The 18,179-nt window shown below is 37.0% G+C and overlaps 1 protein-coding gene across 15 annotated transcripts in view; it reads right to left on the bottom strand.

The window, feature by feature from the left end:
- The window catches only part of CCSER2 (coiled-coil serine rich protein 2), a 189,929-nt gene that overhangs the window by 27,840 nt on the left and 143,910 nt on the right, over positions 1-18,179 (bottom strand). For 13 of the 15 annotated variants that reach the window (NM_001351290.2, XM_005269905.5, NM_001351292.2 and 10 more), the window contains one exon: positions 13,014-13,103. The exons of 1 other annotated variant lie outside the window; for it this stretch is intronic. In NM_001351290.2, coding sequence (NP_001338219.1) covers positions 13,014-13,103 — 90 coding nt within the window. Of the gene's footprint in view, positions 1-13,013; positions 13,104-14,795; positions 17,647-18,179 lie in introns of those variants that run through there. One more of the 15 variants, XM_011539871.4, reaches the window with a different exon arrangement.

Genomic DNA, 18,179 nt, shown 5'->3' with positions numbered 1-18,179 from the left:
CCATGCAAAGAAGGTAACAACCTTGAGAAAAGATTAGATGAATGGCTAACTAGAAGAACCAGTGTAGAGAAGTCCTTAAATGACCTGATGGAGCTGAAAACCATGGCACGAGAACTACGTGACGAATGCACAAGCTTCAGTAGCCGATTTGATCAACTGGAAGAAAGGGTATCAGTGATTGAAGATCAAATGAATGAAATGAAGCGAGAACAGAAATTTAGAGAAAAAAGAGTAAAAAGAAATGAACAAAGCCTCCAAGAAATATGGGACTATGTGAAAAGACCAAATCTACATCTGATTGGTGTACCTGAAAGTGACGGGGAGAATGGAACCAAGTTGGAAAACACCCTGCAAGATATTATCCAGGAGAACTTCCCCAACCTAGCAAGGCAGGCCAATGTTCAAATTCAGGAAATACAGAGAACGCCGCAAAGATAATCCTCGAGAAGAGCAACTCCAAGACACATAATTGTCAGATTCACCAAAGCTGAAATGAAGGAAAAAATGTTAAGGGCAGCCAGAGAGAAAGGCTGGGTTACCCACAAAGGGAAACCCGTCAGACTAACAGCGGATCTCTCAGAAGAAACTCTACAAGCCAGAAGAGAGTGGGGGCCAATATTCAACATTCTTAAAGAAAAGAATTTTCAACCCAGAATTTCATATCCAGTCAAACTAAGCTTCATAAGTGAAGGAGAAATAAAATACTTTACAGATAAACAAATGCTGAGAGACTTTGTCACCACCAGGCCTGCCCTAAAAGAGCTCCTGAAGGAAGCACTAAACATGGAAAGGAACAACTGGTACCAGCCACTGCAAAAACATGCCAAATTGTAAACACCAACGATGCTAGGAAGAAACTGCATCAACTAACGAGCAACATAACCAGCTAACATCATAATGCCAGGATCAAATTCACACATAACAATATTAACCTTAAATGTAAATGGGCTAAATGCTCCAATTAAAAGACACAGACTGGCAAATTGGATAAAGAGTCAAGACCCATCAGTGTGCTATATTCAGGAGACCGATCTCATGTGCAGAGACACACATGGGCTCAAAATAAAGGGATGGAGGAAGATCTACCAAGCAAATGGAAAACAAAAAAAAGTTAGGGGTTGCAATCCTAGTCTCTGATAAAACAGACTTTAAACCAACAAAGATCAAAAGAGACAAAGGAGGCCATTACATAATGGTAAAGGGATCAATTCAACAAGAAGAGCTAACTATTTTAAATATATATGCACCCAATACAGGAGCACCCAGATTCATAAAGCAAGTCCTTAGAGACCTAGAAAGAGACTCTGACTCCCACACAATAATAATGAAAGACTTTAACACCCCACTGTCAACCTTAGACAGATCAATGAGACAGAAAGTTAACAACGAGATCCAGGAATTGAACTCAGCTCTGCACCAAGCGGACCTAACAGACATCTACAGAACTCTCCACCCCAAATCAACAGACTATACATTCTTCTCAGCACCACATCACACTTATTCCAAAATTGACCACAGAGTTGAAGTGAAGCACTCCTCAGCAAATGTAAAAGAACAGAAACTATAACAAACAGTCTCTCAGACCACAGTGCAATCAAACTAGAACTCAGGATTAATAAAGTCACTCAAAACTGTGCAACTACATGGAAACTGAACAACCTGCTCCTGAATGACTACTGGGTACATAACGAAATGAAGGCAGAAATAAAGATGTTCTTTGAAACCAATGAGAACAAAGACACGACATACCAGAATCTCTGGGACACATTTGAAGCAGTGTGTAGAGGGAAATTTATAGCACTAAATGCCCACAAGAGAAAGCAGGAAAGATCTAAAATTGACACCCTAACATCGCAATTAAAAGAACTAGAGAAGCAAGAGCAAACACATTCAAAAGCCAGCAGAAGGCAAGAAATAACTAAGATCAGAGCAGAACTGAAGGAAATAGACACAAAAAATCCTTCAAAAGAATCAATGAATCCAGGAGCTGGTTTTTTGAAAATGTCAACAAAATTGATATACTGCTAGCAAGACTAATAAAGAAGAAAAGAGAGAAGAATCAAATAGACGCAATTAAAATGATACAGGGGATATCACCACTGATCCCACAGAAATACAAACTACCATCAGAGAATACCATAAACACCTCTATGCAAATAAACTAGAAAATCTAAAAGAAATGGATAAATTCCTCGACACATATACCCTCCCAAGACTAAACCAGGAAGAACTTGAATCCCTGAATAGACCAACAACAGGCTCTGAAATTGAGGCAATAATTAAGAGCCTACCAAACAAAAAAAGTCCAGGACCAGATGGATTCACAGCCGAATTCTACCAGAGGTACAAGGAGGAGCTGGTATCATTCCTTCTGAAACTATTCCAATCAATAGAAAAAGAGGGAACCCTCCCTAACTCATTTTATGAGGCCAGCATCATCCTGATACCAAAGACTGGCAGAGACACAACAAAAAAAGAGAATTTTAGACCAATATCCCTGATGAACATCGATGCAAAAATCCTCAATAAAACACTGGCAAACCAAATACAGCAGCACATCAAAAAGCTTATCCACCATGATCAAGTGGGCTTCATCCCTGGGATGCAAGGCTGGTTCAACATACGCAAATCAATAAACATAATCCAGCATATAAACAGAACCAAAGACAAAAACCATATGATTATCTCAATAGATGCAGAAAAGGCCATTGACAAAATTCAACAGCGCTTCATGCTAAAAACTCTCAATAAATTAGGTATTGATGGGACGTATTTCAAAATAATCAGAACTATTTATGAAAAACCCACAGCCAATATCATACTCAATGGGCAAAAACTGGAAGCATTCCCTTTGAAACTGGCACAAGACAGGGATGCCCTTTCTCACCATTCCTATTCAACATAGTGTTGGAAGTTCTGGCCAGGGCAATCAGGCAGGAGAAAGAAATAAAGGGTATTCAATTAGGAAAAGAGGAAGTCAAATTGTCCCTGTTTGCAGATGACATAATTGTATATCTAGAAAACGCCATCGTCTCAGCCCAAAATCTCCTTAAGCTGATAAGCAACTTCAGCAAAGTCTCAGGATACAAAATCATTGTGCAAAAATCACAAGCATTCTTATACACCAATAACAGACAGAGAGCCAAATCATGACAGAACTCCCATTCACAATTGCTTCAAAGAGAATAAAATACATAGGAATCCAACTTACAAGGGACATGAAGGACCTCTTCAAGGAGAACTACAAACCACTGCCCAACGAAATAAAAGAGGACACTAACAAATGGAAGAACGTTCCACGCTCATGGGTAGGAAGAATCAATATCATGAAAATGGCCTTACTGCCTAAGGTAATTTATAGATTCAATGCCATCCCCATCAAGCTACCAATTACTTTCTTCACAGAATTGGAAAAAACTACTTTAAAGTTCACATGGAACCAAAAAAGAGCCCGCATTTTCAAGACTATCCTAAGCCAAAAGAACAAAGCTGGAGGCATCATGCCACCTGACTTCAAACTATACTACAAGGCTACAGTAACCAAAACAGCATGGTACTGGTATCAAAACAGAGATATAGACCAATGGAACAGAACAGAGCCCTCAGAAATAATACCACACATCTACAACCATCTAATCTTTGACAAACCTGAGAAAAACAAGAAATGGGGAAAGGATTCCCTATTTAATAAATGGTGCTGGGAAAACTGGCTAGCCATATGTAGAAAGCTGAAACTGGATCCCTTCCTTATACCTTATACAAAAATTAATTCAAGATGGATTAAAGACTTAAATGTTAGACCTAAAACCATAAAAACTCTAGAAGAAAGCCTAGGCAGTACCATTCAGGACATAGGCATGGGCAAGGACTTCATGTCTAAAACACCAAAAGCAATGGCAATAAAAGCTAAAATAGACAAATGGGATCTAATTAAACTAAAGAGCTTCTGCACAGCAAAAGAAACTACCATCAGAGTGAACAGGCAACCTACAGAAGGGGAGAAAATTTTTGCAATCTACTCATCTGACAAAGGGCTAATATCCAGAATCTGCAAAGAACTCAAACAAATTTACAAGAAAAAAACAAACAACCCCATCAACAAGTGGGCAAAGGATATGAACAGACACTTCTCAAAAGAAGACATTTATGCAGCCAACAGACACATGAAAAAAGCTCATCATCACTGGCCATCACAGAAATGCAAATCAAAACCACAATGAGATACCATCTCACACCAGTTAGAATGGCAATCATTAAAAAGTCAGGAAACAACAGGTGCTGGAGAGGATGTGGAGAAATAGGAACACTTTTACACTGTTGGTGGGAGTGTAAACTAGTTCAACCATTGTGGAAGATAGTGTAGTGATTCCTCAAGGATCTAGAACTAGAAATACCATTTGACCCAGCCATCCCATTACTGGATATATACCCAAAGGATTATAAATCATGCTGCTATAAAGGCACATGCACACGTATGTTTACTGCAGCACTATTCACAATAGCAAAGACTTGGAACCAACCCAAATGTCCATCAATGATAGACTGGATTAAGAAAATGTGGCACATATACACCATGGAATACTATGCAGCCATAAAAAAGGATGAGTTCATGTCCTTTGTAGGGACATGGATGAAGCTGGAAACCATCATTCTCAGCAAACTATCGCAAGAACAAAAAAACAAACACCGCATGTTCTCACTCATAGATGGGAATTGAACAATGAGAACACTTGGACACAGGAAGGGGAACATCACACACCGGGGCTTGTTGTGGGGTTGGGGGAGGTGGTAGGGAGAGCATTAGGAGATATACCTAATGTAAATGACGAGTTAATAGGTGCAGCACACCAACATGGCACATGTAGACATATGTAACAAACCTGCACGTTGTGCACATGTATCCTAGAACTTAAATAATAATAATAATTAAAAAAGCATGTAGTGAACTGTGTTCTGAAAACTGAAAAATGCTGATTAAAGAAATCAAAAATGCTTAAATTAATGGAGAGACATACCATATTCATAAATTGGGAGAATCAACATCTTTATTATTTATTTGAACAGTTTATTTAAACTGTGGTACACCCATATCATGGAACAGTACTCAGCAATAAAAAGAAACTAACTACTGATGCACACAACTACTTGAATGGATCTCCAGGGTGTTATGCTAGTTTTAAAAAGCCAAGCTCCAAAGTTCAACACTGTAAGATACTATTTATAAAAAATCTGAAAATAACAAAATTATAAAGATGTAAAACAGTTTTAGTGGTTACCAGAGGTTAGGAATGGTGAGAGAAAGTGAGAATGGTTAGAATGCAAAGAGGTACCACACATGGGAAAATGCTGTGGTGGTACAATAGTTCTATACCTTAAATATGATGATCATTACTACACAAGTTATAAAATGGCACAGTTACTACACAAGTTATAAAATGGCACAGAAGCGTGCACACACACCATCACTAATGTCAATTTCCTGGTTTTGATATTGTACTACAATTATGTAAAATGTAACTAATGTGGAAAATTGGTTGAAAAATAAAAAAGATCTCCACATTTTTTGCAACTTCTTATCACTCTTTTGTAATTACACTACAGGCAAACTTTGCTTCTTCCAATGGATACTTTAAACAAAGTTTCAAAAATGCCTTCTATAGTTCTAGTATCTGGTATTGAAAAATACAGATTTAGGTAACTGTAAACTTACAACCAATAAACCACTCAACTGCTATAATATCCATATTTAATTTGTTCGTATCCTTAAGAAACAATTATGTTTTTTCGGTTATTGGTTTAACCTGTATACATGAAAGAAAGTCACAGCACTAATGTTTAAAAAAAAATAGAAGAAATGACAAACATAAAAGAATTCTTGTGTTGTCATAAATTCTGCATGCCACACAATGTCTCAGCAACACAGATGGCTCCTGTCAACATTCAGATCATCAAAACACAGGCTGTATTCCATGGCCAATGTCTAATATTGAGTAAAACATTGAATAATTTAAAAATAACTGTATGACCAGATCATAAATATCACTTATTTAAACACCAATGTATATGTGATTTTCTCTAAAAATACTTTTAGTGGCATTTAAAAATATAAGTAATAGTGAATACAAATAAAAGGCCTTAGCAAAGAAGTAATTCCCTTTGAAACACACACACACACACACACACACACGTGCATGCACACATGCATGCAACGTCTCTCCAGAGAAATAAATGGGCTCATTAAAATTTAAAATCAGGACATTTGGCTGGGCATGGTGGATGGCTCATGCCTGTGGTCCCAGCACTTTGGGAGGCCGAGGCGGACAGATCACCTGAGGTCAGGAGTTCAAGACCAGCCTGGCCAATATGGTGAAACCCCATCTCTACTAAAAATATAGAAATTAGGGCTGGGTGCGGTGGCTCACACCTGTAATCCCAGCACTTTGGGAGGCAGAGGCAGGTGGATCACGAGATCAGGAGATAGAGACCATCCTGGCTAACGCGGTGAAACCCCGTCTCTACTAAAAAAAATACAAAAAATTAGCCAAGCATAGTGGCGGGCACCTGTAGTCCCAGCTACTTGGGAGGCTGAGGCAGGGGAATGGTGTGAACCCGGGAGGTGGAGCTTGCAGTGAGCCAGGATCACGACAGAGCGAGACTCCGTCTCAAAAAAAAAAAAAAATTATATATATATATATATATATATATATATATATATATATATATAAATTAGCCGGGTGTGGTGGGATGCACCTGTGGTATCAGCTACTTGGGAGGCTGAGGTGGGAGAATCTCTTGAACAGGGAGGCAGATGTTGCAGTGAGCTGAGATCATGCCACTGACTTGAGCCTGGGCAAGAGAGAGAGATTCCATCTCAAAAAAAAAAAAAAGAAAAGAAAAAAAATTGACATTTTTCCAACATAAAAATTAACCAATAATTTTGCCCATTTCCAAATCAGGAAAGAATATGGTCTAAGAAAATGGATTTGGGGGAGATTATTCATAAGATAAATCGTTTGCCTGCACTGTCTTTTGGTTAGCGTTCCATCCCATTTCTCAGGCAAGAAAAAATAGAGTGGAGTTCTTTGCTGATAAATTTCCACGGTTGCTAGAAACTAGGTAAAATCTGTCTCCTTTGGAAATTATAAACATTTGATGTGATTTTTGTGATGTAACTGTGATAGTTTTCTGCTTTTTCCTTTTCTATTTTATAAATATTTATGATGGGAAAATACTTGACCCAGTATATCTGAGGCCCAAAAACCTAAGTCTTTTTTTTTTTTTTTTGAGACAGAGTTTCATTCTTGCTGCCCAGGCTGGAGTGCAATTGTGCAATCTCAGCTCACCACAACCTCCACCTCCCAGGTTCAAGTGATTCTCCTGCCTCAGCCTCCCGAGTAGCTCGGATTATTGGCATGCACCACCACGCCTGACTAATTTTTGTATTTTTAGTAGAGACGGGGTTTCTCCATGTTGGTCAGGCTGGTCTCAAACTCCCAGCCTCCGGTGATCCACCCGCCTCAGCCTCCCAAAGTGCTGTGACCAAAAACCTAATTCTAAGCACAAAAAGGGTGGTTGACAATGCTGACCATATTCCAATTGCTGAACTTATATAAATTACATATGCATATCTTTTATATATACCGTAACATGGATTAATCTTTGATTCAGTACTATAATTCCAACAGATCATTTTTAATGTATATAAAATCACCTTTTCTTGCCTCTTTGCTATATATAACAGAGTTAGTTCTTAAAAATATGAGAGAAAATTAGCATTAGATCGAATTGTGCCCATTCAGAATTTTAACTTGTAGGCACCTTTTCACACTGATACCGATACAACAGTCTGTGTATTCATGTACTCAATTTTCAGAGTAATCCAGGTCAGGTAATTACATGACAGGTCAGGTAGATCCTTTGGGTCTAACCTGTTCTCCCTGCGTAGAGATTCAAGGGGATAAGTAATAAGGCATTTGAAGGTATGAGTCCAGAAATGTTTCTTTTTTCTAATATTTTGGCTTCTCTGGTTAACTTGAGGTGTTCAAACAAATGGACTACAAAAGGTACATATCATAAGATTTTACAATTTACTTAACGTGCAGAATATTCATATTTTTAAATACTGATGTTAAATGCTTTTAAAACAGTATTGGAAATACATAAAAATAAATTCAGTCCAAGATAATGCTAATTTTTAAGAATATGCTTGTACATGGATCTGTACACTATGCTTAAAAATAGTTTCGTAAGTTTTTATGTTTAAAATGAATCTTGATTTCTCGCATAACCAACAACCTCCAGCAGTATTCACAGTAATATCAACTATTTTCATGTGAATGATTAGGCATCTTCCATATTGTTATTCTTCTTTTCGCGTTACTCATTTCACCATTGTATCCGGGTATTTTGCCCCTCAGATAAGAAAAATAATTGCCCCACTTTCCTCTGGAAGTATCATTTTCTGCTCTTACGGCTCATTCTTATCTCTTTTCCCTCTTTTTTCCTCCACCTAAATCTGAACTCCATGTTTTTTATTTTCCTTCATTTCTTCTGAAAACTGCTTTTACTGACTTGCCCTTTACTTATTGTTCTAGGTAGCTTTCCATATCCATGTAAGTAGATATCATTAGGTCCAGGGCTGCTTTGTCCAAAATGATGTCAATTAGCTACATGTGACTATTTACATTTAAATTAATTACAACTAAACAAAATTTAAAATTCTCTTCCTTCATTTTCAAGTGCTCAACAGTCACATGTAGCTACAGGCTACTACAATGGACAGCACAGAAAGTTGTATAGGACTGTGCCGCTCTAGAGTAGGGCATTCTCAATTCTGGAATACGGTCCTATGGCTGCCCTCTTTTTATAATGCAAGGCTCAGGGGAGTTTATAACACTACATTATTGCTTTCCCAAGCAGAAGATAGACCCCTTACTCCACTAAGACGTGCTTCACACTCTGGTCCTCAATGCTGAAAACACTGTTCTTAAAAACTTATACTTAAAAACATCCTGTACTATGCCTACAGCATGGCTTAGGCAACTCCCTACGGTAGTAGAAACCTTTGTCTTGCCCTAAATGAAGAGCACCCACCAGGTGACTAGCCACTATTCCCTTGCTGGGTTCAGTCTCACAAATAATAACCAAACCAAACCCAAACAGTTTTGATCTTTATCAGTACAGTTCTAACACCAAAAGCACCTGTAGCATGAAAGCCAAATTTTACTACAGGCAGAAAAAAACTCCTAAAATTCTGAGGATCAATATATATAAAATCAATATATATAAAATATATAAAAAATTTTGTGTATTGATATACACAAAAGCTGAGGTTGAATATATGCAGAAAATAGCATGATAAAATGGTTTTCAGGCCAGGAGGAAGAAAGAATTTGTAAGGTAAGAAAACATTACATAACAGGAATGGTCATAACATAAATAGTTGGGAGTGGCTTCCCAGTACCACCTGAAATGATAGTGTGGGGCACAAGGGGTAACCCTCCTGCCCTTGTATTTCCTCGTTTGTGGAGGGAAATATCAGGGGCTTTTTTTAAATAAACTAATGACATCAAACACTTGAATCACACAACCTAACATCACGGCCACCAAGCCACTTTCTGGTCATACTTAGTTGGTGGTAGTATAAGCCTGTATAAACCTTTCAGAAAAAAAACTGTAGTAATTTATTTCAAGAACCTTACAAAGACCATCCAGTAAAGGAATTAATTCCTTAACTTGATTAAAGGTAATGCATTTCTTCATTTTGGTTTAGTAAAAAAATCAAACCAAATATTAATAGCAACCACCATCACCACTACCTACGTAGGTTAAAATGCCACATATACAACATAATCCCATCTAAATAGAGATGACAGATGGCACATACACATATACACACAACACCAAACAAGGCTGGAAGACCATATATAAAATGTTAACAATGACTGTCATTGGCTTGTATGATTTAAGTACTTTAAATTTTTCTTAAGTTGTTTTGCTTCTCTATTTTCTATATTTGCTATAGAATAAATATATCGTTATCTCTCAATAAAAATAGGAAAGGAAAAATCCACTTTACAGTACTTCTCTTTTAAACGTACATATTTTGGCCTCAGGTTACTCATAAAGTATTCTTAGTATTCTATTTTTTCATGCTTTTAATGAGAGGTATTGAATTTTATTATTTCTATTGAGAAAATGACTTACATAATTTAATATGTCAAAAGATTTCTTTGTACTCACATTAGATTGAAACTAACTTGGTTGTAGAGGAGTTTTCTTATTACACTCTTACTGAAACTATGCCTTTTCAACCAAAAATACTTTTTTCTCAGTAATTTAAAATACAAGTATGTGGTCAGGCATGGTGGCTCATGTCTGTAATCCCAGCATTTGGGGAGGCTGAGGCAAAAAGATCACCTGAGCCCAGGAGTGTGAGACCCCTGTCTCTACAAAAAATAAAAAAATTAGCCAGGCATGGTGGTGCACACCTGTGGTCCCAGATACTTGGGAGGCTGAGGCAGGAGGATCACTTGAGCCCAGGAGGTCAAGGCTATAGTGGACCATAATTGCACCATTGCACTCTAGCCTGGGTGACAGACCAAGACCCTGTCTCAAAATAAATTAAATAACTTTTAAAATACAAGTATGTTTCTATGGATTATCACAGTATACTGCTAAGTCTTCTACCATGCAGTGCAAACCTGGGCACCTGTTTTTTTTCCTCTCAGGGAAGTTAAGTCCTTATTGTGATCTCTCACTAAGATTAAGCCTCTGTCCTCCCTTCCCAGAGCTATGATCCTTTTCTCTTCTCTATTCCTTCTAGCCCCCTCACCCTCCTGCAACCATTCAAAAGAAAAGCAACTAAAATAAGACTGCTGTATACAAGTTGTGTAAACACTTGCATAAGTCACTTCTTAGTCTTAGCTTCTTCACATGCAGAAAAAGAGTGAGCTTACTATCATTTAAGCACACTGGAGGTTTCTACAAGCATCTTGAGGGATGGAACTTTATATTTACACATGTATTTTTATATTCTTCTTTATATTTACACATCCAAATTAATACAGTGCCTGGCATGAAGTAGGCACATAAATATCTGCTGAATAAGCAAGTGAATATCTGCTTTTCCTCCTTTCCCCTTTTCTACTACTATATTTCTTCCTCTTATTTCCTGTTGATTCTCTACTTCAGAGATCTTATTTGCAGCCATTAAGTGACACAAAATCCCCTTGGACAAATCTCAATACATTCAAATTTTTGCTCTGCTGCTGTTGGCAGCAAACCACTCTCCTTCAAAGGCTCTTCAATGTGCTTTTGGGGAAAAGAACCTAGAACTAGCAGTCAAGAGTCCTAAGTTATAGTACTAGCTCAGCCACTTATTAATTATGGGAACTTTGCTATGCCAGTTAATCTCCCCAGCTTTTGCTACCTTATCTACAAAACAAAGGTATTTGGCCAGATGATTCCTATAGTAACTTTTATAGTTACTTTTTTTATAGTTACTTTTGTCTGATGAGGAGGAAGACTAACATCCAGTTTCCAGAACAGTGAGGCTGAAGGAGCCAGAGGTGGTATAAAGACTTCCATGAGGATGGCAAAATGGAACTTATCATGCTTAATGGAATCACCAGTCTTCTTAGTAGTACAATTATAAGGCATAACATCCCTATGGGGTAAATGGAGACACCTGGAAAGCCCAAACTTCCATCTAGAAGCAAGGGGCATGGTCTTCTATTAAACAACTGTCTGCAAACAGATGAGCTTCCACCGCCTTTGACATTAAATAATATCACATCATCTTTTTCTGTTGGTATCTTTTGCTTTCTATGATTCAAACACAACCTTCATTTTCTTCACCAAGCTCCTTGATTCTTTCAACTAGACTTTCCCACATCCTTTGAACCTTATAGACTTACACAGCACTTTAACTACATCAATGCATTCCCAATTTCTTAAGAAGTACTTATAAACAGAGGAATCCTTATTTGTCTGTATTTCCTTCCCTAATTCCCCACTTCTAGTTTGAAAGCCAAATATCTGGGATGAAAGGGGATCATCAAACTTTTGTTGAATAAATTAATTCCTACCATTGTATCTTATACAGAGCACAAAAAAAATACTTGTTAGATGAAAAGAAACAAAACTCTTTTATAAACTTTAAAGGCTTATGGCTAAGCTTTATAAACTGAATTGCTGATTATATTAGCCATTATATTTCTCTGTTCCTTTGTGTTACTAGGATTCCACTCCTAAATATAAGGCAAAAGAGTCAAGGCTGACTTATTAGGCAATCTCTTAACAAGAAATGTCTACTACCTGGCCCCAAACAACAGCAGAATGACTAATGTCCATATGATAATTCTCTGGCTCACACACATCCTGCACTAAGTTCTGAGAACTCAGATTAAATGATAGAGTATTTTTAGCACTAAACATGTTTTGAGATATAACATTTTTGAAAAACAAATAAGCATGGAATACATAGTTACTTCCTATTTAAAATAAACCATTCCCTAGTTCTGCCTAAAACATAACTTTTATTGTCTGTATCTTCGTGCATTTATATTTCCTAACACCCTCAACATTTGAGTAATTATAATAAACATATTTGAAAAGTTTTAACAAAAAAGGAATATGCTAAATCATATATTTTCAAAGTGTCATATGCTGCTAAAGTGGGATGACTGCATACAGGACTGCTATTTCCTTTAAGGCATGTGGAACTACTCTCATAAATCATGCAATAAGAGGAGAGTAGACACGCAAATAAAATGAACTATAGTATGTAGAATGAAAAAGCTATTAAAATGCACATTCACTTACATAAGACACACAAGAGAAGCTTTAGGAAAACACATAAACACCTAAGAGACAAGCAAAAATAAATTACCTACAAAAAAATTAACAGCCATGACAGATTCAAAATCATTAGAGATTGCTGTAAAAAGAGTGAAATAAAACATCAAAATAGCAAATGACTGGAGAGGAGGCTAAGAGCAAATGTTACTTACAGGAATTCGTCTCCAGGGTGTTTGGGTATATTTATCAGCATAAGTGCATTTTTCCTCTTTACATTTTTGGTGGCAGATATGCTGAGTTGCCTAAACAAAAACACAAAATTTTTACATTGGTTTAATTCTGCATATACACACCAAGACACACAAGAGAAACTTTAGGAAAACACATAAAACACCTAAGAGACAAGCAAAACTAAATTACCTATAAAAAAAATTAACAGCCATGACAGGAGGTAATCAGGGCTCTTTTAGGGGGTATGTAACCAAATCAACAAAAAAGTCACACATGGCAAAATAGTTCTGGCTACTTTTTTGAAGAAAAAATGTTATCACAGCCAACAATAAGGTCTATTCAGTGGTCTCTCATCTTATTCAGGGAGTGGGTTTGAGAGTCAGCCTGTAAGGTTAGAATTTTGAATAATCTAAATTACCCTTGGCAATCTCTTATATTGTCCATAAAACATACAATATATGATTTTATGTATATCAATATAAAGAGTTAAGTATATGGATGTAGAATATATAGGGATATTCAGTATATAAAGAATACAACTGCAGAATTTACAGTATTTCCCTAAACTGTCATGGTACTACAGTCACTAAAGCTCAGTTTCTTAAATCCATATTTTAATGGGACTCTGCTGGACATTGAATACCACCAGTCCACTTGTCAGGATGTCTGTTCTCATGTGCAGTGTGATGAAGCCTCTTTCATGATGTATTGACTTTACTGGACTGAAATATTTTGAAGAGTGTCAGCCCTTTGACAAGATCCATCTGACCATTTCTGTTCACAAATGATTTCTCCACACGATTCCACTCAAAGCACACTCATTTATATAACACAAAGTAACTTTCCCAAATAATCATCACTTTCAAAAAAGATCATGAAAATACTGATAAAAAGAATTCTCCCGGCCAGGCACGGTGGCTCACGCCTGTAATCCCAGCACTTTGGGAGGCCGAGGCGGGCGGATCACGAGGTCAGGAGAAGCAGACCATCCTGGCTAACACAGTGAAACCTCATCTCTACTAAAAATACAAAAAATTTGCCGGATGTGGTGGCGGGCACCTGTAGTCCCAGCTACTCCGGAGGCTGAGGCAGGAGAATGGCATGAACCCGGAAGCAGAGCTTGCAGTGAGCACAGATTGCACCACTGCACTCCAGCCTGGGTGACAGAGGGAGACACCATTTCAAAAAAAAAAAAAAAAAAAAAAAAAAAGAGAGAGAATTCACCCTTAGTGACAAGCTAGAAAATAACCACATTATTTGTTAAACAACCTCACTGGAGGTAGATATACTTTCTCATAGGAAACTAAAAAATTCTTGATTATTCCATCAGGTTAAAATGATACATTTCTACTTTAATAATATTTACCCATATTCAAAATTTTTCTTAACTGCAATCAGATCATTACAATTTCCTTATACAAAATAAAATCTAAAAACAAAAATGTCTATCATAGAGACATATTTCCCATTCCTAACAAATGAGACAGTCACTGAAACAAAATTCAATATAGGCTGGGTGCAGTAGCTCACACCTGTACTCCCAGTACTTTGGGAGGCTGTGGCTGGCGGATTGCTTGGGCCCAGGGGTTCCAGACCAGCCTGGGCAACAAGGCAAAACCCTGTATCTACAAAAAACACACAACAAAAACAGCCAGGCATGGTAGCATGTGCCTGTAGTCCCAGCTACCCGGGAGGTTGAGTGAGAGGATCACCTGAGCTTGGGAGGTTGAGGCCACAGTGTGCTGAGATTGCACCACCGCACTCCATCCTGGGTGACAGAGTGAGACTCTAACTCCAAAATAACCCCCCAAATTCAATATATAATCAAGTATTTACAGTCTCTTGGAATTCACTGTAATAGGATCAACTTTTAACATATATGAGGGGTATATGAGGAACAGAAAAGATAATTTAAAAACACTATCGTAACGAAAACACTTTACTTATTCCATCCTATTGCAATTCCAGAAATTCAGGTGCTCTTTGATTTATAATGGGGTCACACCTGGATAAACTCATAATATTACTAAAAACACACTTTTGATTTGGGATTATTTTCAACCTATAATGGGTTTATCAGGACATAATTCCGTCATAAGTTGAGGAGCTTACTGAATGAGTATCACTTTTGTACCATCATATAATCAAAAAATCCTAAGTAGCAGACTGTCTATGATTTATTTTCTGTGGTCTATATGCTCACACATGAAAAATAATATTTGGCAAATATATGAGTTTTCCAAAATTTGGAAAAGTCTAGTTTCTAGTGACATGTCAACATATATAAAATGACTAACCAAATCATTTTCTCACCATCTGCCTTCTTTATTGCTGACAGACTGTACAGATGCTCACCTTCTATTTGGTCCCACATTTGGGGAAATGTGTCCTAATCTCTTACCCCAAGGAGCTAGAACTTAATTAGTCTGAACCAATGTGATTAATCCCATTCCTCTATGCTTAGGAAGGGACAAGTAACTCAAATCTAGCCAATCAAACAGGAAAGTCTAGGGTATCTGAGAAAGGGTTTGTTGATTTTAAAAACAGACACTGGAGATCATAGGCCCTTAACCTATCCTTGGGTATTACTGTGTGAGAATGTGACACACAGAGCAACAGACATCTTGTGACCATGAATGGACAGCCAACAGGATTCCAAAAAAGCTGATCTGGAACCTAATCAATCAGCCAAATGACCAATAAGAAACCACTGAAATGGATGGGACCTACATAATTTCTTGTTGAGTTTACAACTGTTTTTATTTTTAAAATCACTTTTAGTTAGGGACTTTTACTCGGAACTTAAAACATCATAAGATATGCACTGATTTACACTGGGTGATTTAGGGCTTATATAAGAGTTGCTATTCATCATGTATCCATGGACCAGGCATTAAGTAGTTTACTATGTAGTTCTATCACAACATAACTATCATAACCCTATATGGTCAGTACTACTTTTTTTTTTTTTTTTTTTTTTTTTGAGATGGAGTCTTGCTCTGTTGCCCAGGCTGGAGTGCAGTGGCACGCGATCTTGGCTCACTGCAACCTCGGCCTCACGGGTTCAAGTGATTCTCCTGTCTCAGCCTCCTGAGTAGCTGAGACTACAGGCATGTGCCACCATGCCCAGCTAATTTTTGTATTTTTAGTAGAGACAGGGTTTCACCATGTTGGCCAGGCTGGTCTCGAACTCCTGACCTCAGGTGATCTGCCTGCCTCGGCCTCCTAAAGTGCTGGGATTATAGGTATGAGCCACCGTGCCCAGCCCAGTACTACTTTTATTATCCTCTAACAGAAGGGGCTTAGGAGAGATTATAGAACTCCCTTCAGAGAACATGGCTATAAATTTCAAAGTCAGGATCTGAACTCAGGTCTGTCTTGGTTTTTCAAATATACTATACTGCTAGCCCACTTAACCTGAGTTCCACTGTCTAATGTGTCTCCCATAAAGGAAATTCTACACTAGCAATTTCCCAAGATTATTCTGAAGAGTCAATGAGAAATGTATCTGAACTATTATTTAACTATGGTATTGTAGTAAAGATAAACAGGCATTCTTAGCATTTTTTAGTAAGGTTTGAATAGTTAAACTTCTATGCCTTTCAGTTAATTCTCAGAGCGCTGCAATCTGATTTTAAATCAGAATATTTTGAATTCAACACTTTATACTGTCAACGTATTTTTATGAAGGTTTGCATGCAAACATAGGTTGGAGTTGAATGTATATTTTTTAAAAAGATAAAAAAGCATAGAAGGCTATAACTGAAAGGGAAATTGGAAATCACCTAGAAAAACCTTCACATTTTGGATAAAGAAAGCACTAGAGAGAGGTGATGGAAACTGTCAGTGCCATTTAGCTAATTAAATTAGAAACAAGTCCTTTAATTCCTAGTCTATGATTCTTCTGATTTTTTTCCTATATTAAGAATAGAGATGTTAAAAAAAATTTTTTAATAGGTGATTTTAATTTGATAATGTGAAAAATACTGTTACTTATCTTTGTTTTCAAATGGTTTGTATCTGTTAAAACTCTCTTGGTTTGAACAAGTGACTTTCTCGAGTTCTATAACTAAACCTTATACTGTTAAAATCTTTGAGTGATTTCTAATTTTCTACTATAAAAAGGATACTTGGCCACCTAAAACTAAGGCATTCACTTTACAGAGATCACTGCTTGCAATGAGAAGCAGTGAATCTTTTCTAATCCTCTAAATTTATGTTGAGAAAACCACACTAACATTAGCCTTTACATGAACTGTAAAGAAAATATCACGAAGTTCTCCTGGTACGGGGCCACAGCTCCTCTGCAATTTGTAAACATGCTAATGAGATTCTAATGTGTTTACAGAGGGAATTTCTAGCTGAATACACCACAGCTTCCCAAGCAATCCACAGGAAAACTAGGCACACCACCTAGAAAAACAGGTGGCAGGCTCTTTTATGACAAATATGATTACTAGGTTTAATATATCGAGTACAGAGAATTTCAAGGTACCTACTGATAAAGATTAATGCTTTCACTTTTCTTTCTTTAGGATGCTCTTCAATATTTCTTAAATCTTTCTAAAAATTATTTTCAAGATGAGATATTATTCAGGACAACTGGTGCAGTCTCTTCAACAAATCAATACAAAAAGAAAAAAAAGAACAGTTCTAAATTAAAAGAGATATAAGGGATATAACCAGTTGTGCATAGTCCTAGACTGACTTTTAGTTTAGGGACATCAAAGTACAGGATGTTTTTGGAACAACTGAGAAAATCTTAGTATGGACTAGATATTAGAAGATGTTAAGGAATTACTATTAATTGCTTAGAGATAATAATATAATTTGAGCTATGAAGAGACCTGTTCTTATTTTTTTAAAGATACATTCTGAGGTTAAAAGAATACTTTATCAAAACTTCACGGCATAAAAAGATTCATCTTTCATTATTTATCATATGTCCATATAAAGTGACCTTTTACATAAATCTTTGTCTTAAATTTACTTTTCTAATTTTACTATTGCAATCCTAATATTTTTGATGAGAATAATTTTATTCTGTCTCCCCCAGTCTTCTATTTTATTTTTTAAGACAGAGTCTCACTCTGTCACCCAGGCTGAAGTGCAGTGGCATGATCTTGGCTCACTGCAACCTCTGCCTC

Source organism: Homo sapiens, chromosome 10 (genome assembly GCF_000001405.40).
Source record: "Homo sapiens chromosome 10, GRCh38.p14 Primary Assembly".
Taxonomy (NCBI): Eukaryota; Metazoa; Chordata; class Mammalia; order Primates; family Hominidae; genus Homo; species Homo sapiens.
The sequence above is the reverse complement of the archived record's forward strand: the minus strand, read 5'-3'. Positions and strand labels throughout refer to the sequence as shown.